Source organism: Homo sapiens, chromosome 5 (genome assembly GCF_000001405.40).
Source record: "Homo sapiens chromosome 5, GRCh38.p14 Primary Assembly".
NCBI classification, from domain to species: domain Eukaryota; kingdom Metazoa; phylum Chordata; class Mammalia; order Primates; family Hominidae; genus Homo; species Homo sapiens.
The window spans coordinates 80,053,615-80,066,223 of record NC_000005.10 but is presented as its reverse complement, the minus strand read 5'-3'; the positions used below and the strand labels follow the sequence as shown (position 1 = coordinate 80,066,223).

Sequence of the window (12,609 nt, the reverse complement as noted above, 5' to 3'; positions counted from 1 at the left end):
CAGTTTGACAGGAACTTTCAGAAATAAAACCCATATCTGAATACTTAAGTTATAGGCATCCCTAAGTGCTAAGCACTTTAATTTAATACAATGAAAAGTTTTGAAAAGTTTTTTTTTTTTTTTTTTTTTGAGAGGGAGTCTTGCTCTGTCGCCCAGGCTGGAGTGCAGTGGTGCGATCTCGGCTCACTGCAAGCTCCGCCTGCCGGGTTCATGTCATTCTCCTGCTTCAGCCTCCAGAGTAGCTGGGACTACAGGCACCCGCCACCAGGCCCGGCTAATTTTGTTTTCTATTTTTAGTAGAGACGGGGTTTAACCATGTTAGCCAGGATGGTCTCGATCTCCTGACCCCATGATTGAAAGTTTTATGAAAATAAATAATGCCATTTGGGGATTGTGTAGTCACCAGTAAAATACTGAACTATTAATATAAACTACCAAGCTCTTCACAATTTTAAAATACAGGAGTAATAATTATTTACTCAATAAATAGTTATCTAATAGCCTAATATTGCAACTTTGATAGAAAATAAAGAACTTGGCACTTATAAAATTATTCTTACATAAAAATTACTTTTAAAATTACTCATATTAAACACTTTTTCAGCACAAACTTTTGCCTTTATTCTGCCAATCAAATATATTATGCCCACATGTTCTAGGTGTGTTTGGAAGCTATGATCTATAAACATACACTTGTTTTAATAACCGGTTCTGCTTTGATAACAACAGCTGTGAGAAATACTTACCAAAGTATTAACGCAGATCGAGTTGGGAACGCACGCTCCATTTCGACACTCATCAATGTCAGTGCAGACCTAGTGCAGAAAAGTTCAAAGAAAGTTTAGCGAGACATGCTGCTTAAATAGAAATGCAAATAAATCTCCTTTGTTTTGCTATCTTTGTGTGAAGTGAAGATGCGGAATTTCGGGTAGAATGGTAATCTGAGGGTTATTTGTGCCATCTCCCTTGCATTTGTACCAGTTTGTACTTAATCTAATTGCAAATGAGAATTGCTTTCATGGTATTGAAAGTTATTCAGAAAAGACAACTTGTATAATTCATCTGTTCCATCACCTTTTTAGGTTAGGAAAGTTTTATTTTTTTTTTTAATCTTGCTTGGGAATCAATGCAGTTCTCCTAAATGAGGATTCTTAGCTTTTTTCAATTCTGGAACATTCTCAGCTTCCCCCGACTGCTTTCTAGTCTTTCTTTGGAACTACAATTGGATGAATATCGAACTTTCTTGTTAATATCTTCTTTTGACTCCTAACCTCTTGTTTATATGCTCCATGTCGTTATTTCTCTGTGCTGCATTCTAGATGATTTCTTTAGGTTCACCTCCTAGCCCATGAACTCCCTGCTAAGCTGTGTCTAATCTGTTTTGCCCATCTATTAAGTTCAACGATTTTCCATTGATAAAAGTTTTATTTGTCTGTTTTACAAACTTATCTGTTTTTCTCACATTGCCCTATATTTTTTTGTTGTTGTTGTTGAGACAGGGTCTTGCTCTGTCGCTCAGGCTGGAGTGCAGTGGCACAATCACAGCTCACGGCAGCCTCGACCTCCCAGACTCAGGTGATCCTCCCACCTCAACCTCCCAAGGTTGCTGGGACCACAGGCATGCACCATCACACCCGGCTAATTTTTTTGTGTGTATTTTTTGTAGGGATGGGATTTTGCCATGTTGCCCAGTTGGGGCATTGCCCTATTCTTTAAGTATGGTATTTATTTCTTTACCTTTTTATATTTACTTTGCATTTATCATGTTTCCTCATGGGAGTTTCTTTATATAAACTGCCATTTTTGTTTATAAGCATATCTTCAGTAGCCCAAATTTTGCCTGTGGGCATTCCATTGGCCCTGAATTTTGGCATGTCTTTACAGAGTGGTGTGCCTTTGACTTGAGTCAGAGCCCTGGGGATTTCACTTCTTCATGGCTGGTTATTATTTTAATTTTTTGGCTTGTGTTTCTGCATTATATGTATAACAGATTTGGAACTCATAACTGTATGTGGTACAAGTGTGGTGCTTTGATTTGCTGTAGGCAATTTTCATTTTTGTCAACCATGTATTAAAGCTAAAGAGCTTCTTTGTTGTTTCTTAGGGCTACTAAAGGTTTCCTGTCTCCTTGTAATTGATAAGGTGGTTCTCTGAGGGTCCTGGACTTATGCAGGGGTGTTAGGCCTTTCCAAAGTTCCCAGACTACATTGCTGCATCCACTCCACACAGGTGGTAAAAGCCAGGTCCCTGTTACTAAGACCTGGACCCAACTCCCACCTCCCAGGATCTGCTGTGGCATCAGCTCTAGTCACAGTTCTGGCTTTGAGTTTTCTCTTTGTTTCTGGACACTGCGCCATTTCCTTTTATTTTCTTTGACTTTGGAATGCAGTAACATTTGCTGTTAAATTTAGCAAGGTGGCTCCCTTCCACTTCAGTTCTGTCTGCCTTGTTACTGGAAATCTATTGAGAAGTGCTCCTTACTACCTTACACCAAGTACCTTATGTTTCCTTGGTTTGTTCTTAGAGATTTTGTCTTTAGAGGACTCTTAACAGCTTCTTATCATTCCTATATGTCTAGCTGGCCTCCCTTTTCTAGTCTAAAAAATCATGCCCTCCAAGGACTTCATGATTAAAACACCTAAAGCAATGGCAACAAAAGCCAAAATTGACAAATGGGATCTAATTAAACTCAAGAGCTTCTGCACAGCAAAAGAAACTACCATCAGAGTGAACAGGCAACCTACAGAATGGGAGAACATTTTTACAATCTATCCATCTGACAAAGGGCTAATATCCAGAATCTACAAAGAACTTAACTTAAACAAATTTATAGGAAAAAAATCAAACAACCCCATCAAAAAGTGGGCAAAGGATATGAACAGACACTTCTCAAGACAGTTATGCAGCCAACAGACACATGAAAAAATGCTCACCATTACTGGCCATCAGAGAAATGCAAATCAAAACCACAATGAGATGCCTTCTCACACCAGTTAGAATGGCGATCATTAAAAAGTCAGGAAACAATAGGTGCTGAAGAGAATGTGGAGAAATAGGAACACTTTTACACTGTTGGTGGGACTGTAAACTAGTTCAGCCATTGTGGAAGACAGTGTGGCGATTCCTCAAGGATCTAGAACTAGAAATACGATTTGACCCAGCCATCCCATTACTGGGCATATACCCAAAGGCTTATAAATCATGCTGCTATAAAGACACATGGACACGTATATTTATTGTGGCACTATTCACAATAGCAAAGACTTGGAACCAACCCAAATGTCCATCAATGATAGACTGGATTAAGAAAATGTGGCACATATACACCATGGAATATTATGCAGCCATAAAAAAGGATGAGTTCATGTCCTTTGTAGGGACATGGATGAAGCTAGAAACCATCATTCTGAGCAAACTATCGCAAGGATAGAAAACCAAACACCGCATGTTCTCACTCTTAGTTGGGAATTGAACAATGAGAACACTTGGACACAGGGTGGGGAATGTCACACACCAGGGCCTGTCATGGGGTAGGGGGAGGGGGGAAGGATAGCATTAGGAGATATACCTAATGTAAATGACAAGTTAACAGGTGCAGCACACCAGTATGGCACATGTATACATATGTAACAAACCTGCACGTTGTGCATATGTACCCTAGAACTTAAAGTATAACAATAACTTAAAAAAATCATGCCCTCTAGAACCCTTTGATAGGCAGCTAGGAAATAATAAACCCCTGCCCTTCTTCAAAGCTAATAATTTCCCTAAGGTAGTAAAATATATTTATAGAACAACCATTTTTAAGGGCTAAAAACATCAAAAAGAATTTCACAGTCAGTCAGTTAAATAATGACCAGAATATAGTAGAGCATTGGGAAATAAATGGAGACTGTCAAGAAGTACTCAAGTGCTTTATGGCAATTTATAGCTTACATAAGAAAAAGGGGAGGTTGCCTTGGGGGATTATTTCTACTCTTAAAATCCCCTCATCTCTGAAACAGCTTCGATTGGCAACAATGACTCTACAAAAGTGACCTAATTTTTCAAAGCTTTTGTCTCCGTGGTTCTCAACTTATTCTGCAGGACAAAATGCTCAACAGCTATCAACAAAATAAGACTGAAATTATGCCAATAGCCATATTACCCCATTTACTGTTTTTCTAGTGATACTCTATTATCCCCTCTTAAAAGCTTCCTCCCTTCTAGATTTTATAAATGTAAATACTCAGAAATGGTTGAAAAACTTCCTAATTTGCTCATTTTGCACCATGACATTCCACATGGCCTTGACTGCTCATGGAGGTAAAGGTTTATACCAAAGAGGTGGGAACCAACCACAGTTGTTTTGTTAAGATGAGAAATGAATAGAAACCATGACTTCAGCCTACCTGCTTGTTTGACTTGGCAAAACTGATCCCAACACCCTGCACCATGGGCCCTGTGAAGCCCACTGGGCAGGCGTCACATCTGAAGCCAGGAGACAAATTTATGCAGTGCACGCCCGGGTAGCAGGGATGGTATTTGCACTGGAGACAAAAAAGTTCAAAGTCTTTAGCCACACCGAGAAAACACTCTCAAACTTTTCTTCATCTATTTGCACATACTTGTTTAGTCATTTAACTATCTTTTGGTGGAAAAAATAATAAAAGGAAATAAAGGCTTCCAACTCCAGTTACCCACTGAATCCCTGACCACACAATCTGAGGTTGCTTTTTAGTAGGCTTTGCTGTGCTGTAGAATAATGGCACATGCATGTTGAAAGGGTCCTTGATATTAACCAGCCTACCTCTCAATGTAATAAGCTCCCTGATATTCTGACATGGAATTTGCAAATCTCTGTGAAAGGACTATGTCCCTGGACCACTTAGCTGGCTGTTAGATGCCTCCAAAAGCATCAGCAAACCAACTACTCAATCAGAAAGACCTCGAGAAGGCAAAGCCAGGGCCGGTGCCTCTTCATTACCATGTAATCCCTCAGGGCCTGTGCCTGCCTCCATGTCCTGTCAAGTCCATGCTATTCCAAGGCTCTAGGAATCTTGGAGATTGTTTTTTGTTTTTTTTAAACCACTTCAACTAATGTAAAAAACATGACCACTTCCTGCCCTTTCAGAAAGAGGAAAATTCTACCTCACAGATAAAAACCAGATGCAGTTCAGTGAAATGTATGCAGTTGTTTCTCCAATTGAGGGATTACTAGAGACCGTCTTAATTGCTTACTACTAGCGAAGGTAATCAGCTGAGTGTTACTAACATTACCATGGGCCTGCAGGAGCCCCAGGGAGTCAGTGTGCCTAAGTTATGTACCTGCATCTCTCCCCTGCGCTTCTCCTTTCAGCCTTCCTTGGGCTGGGTGGGAGGAGAAAGGCACATTGAAGGCACATTTTGGTGGCAGCCTTGCTACCTGCTATGAACATTGCTTTGCAACTGGACTGGTGATTGCCTAACCATGTTTTTTTTTGTTTGTTTTTTTGAGACAGGGTTGTGCCCAGGCTAGAGTGCAGTGGTGCCATCATGGCTCACTGCAGCCTCAACCTCCTGCCTCAGGCAATCCTCCTGCTTCATCTTCCAGAGTAGCTGGGACCACAGGCACATGCCACCATGCCCCAGTAATTATCATATTTTTTGTAGAGATAGGGTTTTGTCTTGTTGCCCGGGCTGGTCTCAAACTCCTGGGCTCATGTGATCCTCCTGCCTCAGCCTCCCAAAGTGTTGAGATTGCAGGCTTCAGCCACTAGGCTGGCCTGCCTAACCAGGGTCTTGAAACAGTCTCTTCTGGGGCTCTGCCAGCCGGTCAAATAGCTGGTATTTGCTGGATGTGCCTCCTCTGGGGCCCTCCCTGGGCACGTTTAGTTACTCATAGGTTACAGGGCCTCCCCCTTGTTGGTGTGAGATTCCCCTCTGCTCCTTTATTTTAGGAAGCCTGAAGAAATCCACGGTGACTCCTGAAATATACCCTTAGAAAAATCCTCCCCTTCCACATTTGCAAAAGTGGGGGAAAAACAAAATTGTAGCACAGACTATTTAAGAGAAATAACCAATGCAAATGTCAGCGTGTAAAGCAGAAACCTCAGCACTGTAGCCAATGGACCAGTAGAAGAGTTGGAAACACAGAGGAAAAATGACAAACGCAGCCATAACCTTGGGTCATGTCTCCTTCCGCCATCCCTTGTCTCAGGGTCTCCAAGCAAGTGGTTTCAATGGAGCCTGGAGGACAGCCCAAGTCAGCCCTTAATCATCAGCTTGGCTTCTTTTTCCAAAAGCTGCAGGGTGAGGAGGATACTTAGGGATCCCCTCCCAGTCTAAGTGAACTTTTACCTCATCAACATCAATACAGGTGATCCCGTTTCCTGTGTAGCCCTCGGGGCAGGGCCCACACTGGAAGCCATCTCTACTGTCGGTACATTGGACACCTCGGAAACATGGGTTGGAGTCACACCGACGAGGTGGGCGTGTTGGCGGTGCAGGGGGAGCCGGGGGCACCACCGTGCTTGGGGTCGGAGACTGAAACTTGAGAGGACCTAGAGAAAAACAATCATCCACAGGCGTATTCACCGCCAGGAAGATATACAGAAGGCAAAACAAAATTTGGTTTCCTATTGAACTTTTCCTCCCTCCCCTCCAACTATGTGGTAGACCTTCAGAAACTGCGGTCAACACAGCCTCACCGCAAGCCCTTCATCAGCCTGCATCATCCAACTCAGGCGAGCCCATTACTAGAAAAGCACTTACCGCAAGCCTGGCATTCAGCTATGGTGTTTCGCAAAAATGATGTTTCCTTAACCTTTAAAAATGAGAAGGGGAAAAAAGGATTGAAAAGGAATGCCTGATATCATCCAGGAATGAAAGAATCCATGTGGAGCTATCTATGTAACACTTTTTTTTTTTTTTTTTTTGAGACAGTCTCAGTCTGTCGCCCAGGCTGGAGTGCAGTGGCACGATCTCAGCTCACTACAACCTCCGCCTCCTGGGTTCCAGCAATTCTCCTGCCTCAGCCTCCTGAGTAGCTGGGATTATAGGCATGCACCACCATGCCTGGCTAATTTTTGTATTTTTAGTAGAGACGGGGTTTCACCATGTTGTTCAGGCTGGTCTCGAGCTCCTCACCTCGTGATCTGCCCACCTCAGCCTCCCAAAGTGCTGGGATTACAGTCATGAGGCACCGCACCTGGCTCTCTGTAACACTTCTTACAGTAGCGTTAGCAGCCCTTGATGGCTCCCGCTCTGCTTAGAGCCATGGTGTGTTCATCACGAGCTTGGACCCCATTTCCAGAGAACTTCCAGCAGAGCCCTGGCGTGCGGGGCTGCGTGGGCCCCCGGAGATCTGGCTCAGAGGCTGCCCCCGTGCCTGGGCAGGCCTGCAGCTCCACTAGCTTGTGGGGAGCTGCTCTAAGAAGACGAGGGCTTTTCTGATGATATGTCCCGCTTGTTACCTGCTGTCTCAGAAGGTCCTTCACCTCTCCCAGGAGTTGGTTTAATTGTGTCATTTGACCCAAGAACTGCCGGTTAAAGTCCCCTGTAGGAACAGCAAAAGGCAAAGAGTTTTCAGCCAGTGATGGTCATTTCTAAGTGACTCAAAACCAAATTATTCCCCAGGAAATCATCCTGACAAGATGATTCAAAAACCCAGAATCTTTGAATTTAATTTGGGGTAATTTCTTTAATTCAGCTAAAAAAAATAATGATAATGATGCCACTGACTAAGTCTAAATTCCATGTGAATCATAAAAATAAAAGCATAATGAAAATATTCTGTGCCCTGGATTTTGTTCAAGAGACTGATTTTCATAGATACGTTTTGTTGGGCTGCTCTGTTGACAGTCCCACTTTTCGGTGATGGGACCCAGCCTATTCAGGGTCTTTGGAGTTTGTGTTGATGAAGGCATGCAAACTGCCCAAGAGCCCACACCTGTGCCTGTGGCAGCCAGTGGCTCACTCTGCTGCAGGAAGCAGTCTTGCAGGCTGGCCACCTGGAACAGTGAGCCTCTCACCACCAGCTTCAGCTCTTCCAAGAAGTCCTGGAAGAAATCACATTCATACCACAGATTGCTGACACTGTTCAAAAGCCAATGTGCTTGCCTACTCACGCAATTTTCATAATCAAGTAGTCCTGTATACTTGGACCCTCTGACATCTTACATAATTTTGTAGGATCACATTTTTTCCTAAAGCCTGCCAGCCCTATCTTTTTGACTAAAGTGAATATGTAAGTAGCCAGTAGCCTAGGAAAATGCTGGCATTGTCACCAAGACAGCTGAGAAAACGAAAGGCTCTTTTCCTACATGGTAAAGGAGTTATTTTGTGGCAGGAGCCTCTTAAGAATTGTCTGTAATTTGTTTATGGAATTTAGATAATAATAAATAAGGTGTTAACCCCAATTTTAAACAGTATTATTTTTTGGTTGTCTTGGCTCAAGGGTCTAGCAAAGCCTCTGACTTCTTTGGGATATGAGAATGAATAAATGATATCTTCTATGATCATTAGGTAGTTGGCATCATATTTTTATATTACGGGTTGATATTATTCATTGTTAGTCAAAAAGTCAATGTCCTTGCCCTTTTATCTTGTGAATGCTGCTTGCAATCACCTTTATTATATCTATATACAACAAAACATTTATGTTAACTGCCAAAGTGAAGTCATCATCCTTATTTTAGAAATGAGCACAGCTAAGGATTTTCAGAGGAATTCTGCTTTTTGATTTAGCTAAGATTTAGGCAACATGTGCTATTTAACACATATTGTATTGGACATCAGACTATAATCTCCGCAGAGTCAGGAAAATGACTGGCTTTGCCCACCATGGTAGCACTAATGCCTAGAATGTGCCCATTTGTTGACTGACTGAATGAGTGAGTAGGTGATTATGAGACTGAGCCACTGTGATCACTACCATGGTCTAAGGAGGTAGAGCTTCTGAGAAAATTCCAGTAAGTACAGTTTCTGATGACTTTGTCAGGGGTGAGTCCTGACTTTTAGAAATTGACTTATTTGGTGGTGAACACTAATTTCTGAAATAAGCAGTGACACAATTTCTGACTGTCATTCTGATTACATGCGCTACTATGGGGATGCAGAAAGAGAGTTTAGCATATCTTTCTATTAATTTTTTTCCATATGTAAATCTACATTAAAAATCTCTCTATATATGACTGAAAAACAAAAATCCCCAAAAACCTCGGATTTTAGCTTTCTTGGAATTTCTGATTAAAAATGCTTCCTGTTGTTCAAGGGCAAAACTTCTAGGATCAGATTCATAGTTTTTATATTACTATCTAAAACTGCACAGCATTCCTACTTGCAATGGAAATTATTGCTTACACCCTGCTTCTCTGTACAAAGGGCTCAGAGTAGCTTGTAACTAAAGCATATATTAATATAATGAATTAACAAATGGAAAGTGAGGATTGAGAGGTAGCAGACAAAAATAATATGGACCATTACAGAAGAACATAGTTACTGATTTGACATTGGCTTATATAGCGGATGAAATTCAGGAACTTTAACCAGTTATACATTATTGGAAAGGACAAAGAATACTAGTTCTTTATAGAAAACAAAGCACTGCCTAGCACAAAATTCTAAAAGAAATGTATGTGGCAATTTCTACAGCAGGTGCAATGACAGAATAATAAAAATACCATCAACCTGGAGTAAAACAGAAGACAGAGGTGATGGTATCTTAAGACCAAATGCAGCTAAGCTAAGCTCCCTTTTGTTAGTGGATGTTCTGACAAGACCTGTGAAAATGCTGTTATGAAAGCTTGGCAGTTTCTAATCATTCTTTTTTATTTTCATTATAGAAAATTGAAAATAGATAATGTCATCACCCTGAGGTAGTTATTTTTACTTTTGCCCTTCCTTTCCAACGTTACAATTGTATCCAGAGTCTCTACTTATCATTGAAAGCACAAGCTCTCAATTTCGGCATCACATTAGAATTGGTATTTTAAAAATATGCTGATGCCCCTAGCATAAAAATATGCTAGGCCCCACCCGACAGATTCGGATTCAGTTTGTCCTAGGGGCAGCCCCCTATCACTTGCTTTTCAAGCTCCGCAGGTGATTCTGATGTGCAAGCGGCATTAGACCCACTGACCTGCAGCAGGAATTTCTCAGCACGCTCCTCTGCACTCCCTAGGCACTGGCAGCTCATTTTTCCACTTCAGAGAATGGTTTGTGGGTTCCTACCTGTGGCTTCCTCTGGAAAGTCCTCAATTCAATGGTCTCAGGTTTCTGGGAGGGGCCAGCAAAGGCCCTGGGGAGATTGTGAACGGAATCCACCTGGATGCAGTCCAGGTAGAGCTCTAGGGAGCCGGCCCCTCGCTGCAAATTGCTCAGCCTCAGGAGGATCCTGTGCCGCCTTCCGTCTGCCAGCTGCAGGTTGTTGAAAACCACCAAATGCACCTTCCCATCGTTCTTCAGGTAACGGAGGATGGCTGGAAGCAAGCACAGGTCAACCAATGGTGTGATAAGTGGCAGAGGGGGAAGTGGAGGGTCAACAAATGGTGTGATAAGTGTCCTGTGCTGAACAGCCTCCTGGTAACAAGACTGGGTTGCTGGACGGAATGTGAGTGAGAAATAACCACAAATATTGATTCACCATCTTCTGTGTGCTAGGCACTGTTTTCAGGCACTGGGAACCAACTCTTCTCCTGAGAATGTTTTGTGTTGATGGAGAAACAGACAATATGTGGCAAATTTGAAAATAAACAATACAATTCTCATATAGTGATAAGTACAATGAGCAAGCAGAACCCAATCTGAAAGCAAAGTAAACTCTATATAAGCGTAGAGCATGAATCCATTCATTCACCAAACACTTGCTGAGCACTACCATGGGGCTGGGGGCTGTCCTTAGGTGCTTTAAATACTTGATTTCTTCCCTTTTTTTTTTTTTTAAAGACAGGATCTCACTCTGTCCCCCAGGCTGCAGTGCAGTGGGACGATCTCAGCTCACTGCAACCTCTGCCTCCTAGGCTCAAGTCATCCTTCTGTCTTAGCCTCCTAAGTAGTTGGGACCACAGGTGTGAGCCACCACACCCAGCTAATTTATATATTTTTTGTAGAGACAGGGTTTTGCCATGTTGCCCAGGCTGGTCTCGAAATCCCGAGCTCAAGCGATCCACCTGCCTCGGCCTCCCAAAGTGCTGGGATTACAGGTGTGAGCCACTGTGCCCAGCCTAAATACTTAATTTCTACTCACTGCAACCAAATGCAATTGGAATAACTATGGACAAGGAAAGTGAGTCTCAGATAAATGAAGGCACTTGCTCAAGGACATAGGAAGTGGCAGGACTAGAATCTGAACCTGAGTGTGATTCATTCCATGACTAAAGCAATGCTAGGCATGCACAGGCCTTAGTCAGCACACATCAAATCGAGTGTAATCTGTCATATCGTCCCTCAGCAACCCATCCCTGAATTTAACAATGCTCAGTTAGATAATAAGAGGTATTGGCTGGGCACAGAGGCTTATGCCTGTAATCCGAGCACTTTGGGAGGCCGAGGTGGGAGAATCGCTTGAGTTCAGGAGTTTGAAATCAACCTAGGCAACATAGTGAGACCTCATCTCTACAAAAAGTAAATTTAAAAAAATTGGCCAGGCTGGGCGCAGTGGCTCACGCCTGTAATCCCAGCACTTTGGGAGGCTGAGGTGGGCAGATCATGAGGTCAGGAGTTCAAGACCAGCCTGACCAATATGGTGAAACCCCGTCTCTAGTAAAAATACAAAAATTAGCCAGGCATGGTGGTGTTCGCCCATAGTCCCAGCTACTCAGGAGGCTGAGGCAGGAGAATTGCTTGAACCTGGGAGGTGGAGGTTGCAGTGAGCCAAGATCACACCACTGCACTCCAGCCTGGGTGACAGAGCAAGACTCCATTTCAAAAAAAAAAAAAAAAAAAAGGCCAGGTGTGGTGGCACATACTTGTAGTCCCAGCTACTTGGGACACTGAGGTGGAGGATTGCTTGAGCCTGGGGGATTGAGGCTGCAGTGAGCCATGATCGAACCACTGCACTCCAGCCTGGGCAAAAGAGCGATCCTGTCTCAAAAAAAAAAAAAAAGAAAAGAAAAGAAAAGGTATCCATGGTTGTAAAAGAAGGACTCCCACCTTATTTTCTGTTTTTGTTTTTGTTTTGTTTTGTTTTGTTTTTCCTATGTGGGTAGCTATTCACATATCTGCTTAAGCCCACATATCTTCTGGTTTTCAGCCTTGTTTTTTTACTCCATTATTGTCCTGAACATAAGAGGCCCTGAGCTAAAATCTGCTCTTGGAAGCTGACCCTTTGTGAGTGGAGCCCATTGGCTAAGGTTTGCTAGAAAGACCAAAGTGATTTCAGCTAGTGTCTAAACACACCTCTAGGTGCATCCACAGGTACCATTCCCAAACCCAGCACTTTGGGAGGCCGAGGTGGGCAGATCACGAGGTCAGGAGTTCAAGACCAGCCTGACCAATAAGGTGAAACCCTGTCTCTACTAAAAATACAAAAATTAGCCAGGCATGGCTAATTTTCACCGGAAACAATCCCAGGAACAAGGTCGGAGGCTAATTGCAAATGTTGCTGGATAAGGGAGGTGGTAAACACATCATTGCAGCTGCAAAGCTCTG

At 42.8% G+C, this 12,609-nt stretch overlaps 1 protein-coding gene across 7 annotated transcripts in view, besides 1 other annotated feature; it reads right to left on the bottom strand.

Moving 5' to 3' along the window:
- Positions 1 to 12,609, bottom strand: part of THBS4 (thrombospondin 4) — a 91,956-nt gene that overhangs the window by 17,064 nt on the left and 62,283 nt on the right. For all 7 annotated transcript variants that reach the window (XR_007058633.1, NM_001306213.2, NM_001306212.2 and 4 more), the window contains 7 exons: positions 10,192 to 10,439; positions 7,910 to 8,018; positions 7,434 to 7,516; positions 6,733 to 6,784; positions 6,319 to 6,521; positions 4,392 to 4,529; positions 747 to 815 (listed from right to left, as the gene is read on the bottom strand). Coding sequence is in view for 6 of the 7 variants with exons in the window: in NM_001306213.2 (NP_001293142.1) it covers positions 747 to 815; positions 4,392 to 4,529; positions 6,319 to 6,521; positions 6,733 to 6,784; positions 7,434 to 7,516; positions 7,910 to 8,018; positions 10,192 to 10,439 (902 nt within the window). In the remaining variant the exon portion in view is untranslated. The remainder of the gene's footprint in view (positions 1 to 746; positions 816 to 4,391; positions 4,530 to 6,318; positions 6,522 to 6,732; positions 6,785 to 7,433; positions 7,517 to 7,909; positions 8,019 to 10,191; positions 10,440 to 12,609) is intronic.
- Positions 11,232 to 11,432: a silencer, noted in NCBI's record as "peak5305 fragment used in MPRA reporter construct". NCBI's record gives its function as "represses an SCP1 promoter by STARR-seq MPRAs in K562 erythroleukemia cells {active_cell/tissue: K562}" and the evidence as "EXISTENCE:reporter gene assay evidence [ECO:0000049][PMID:32103011]".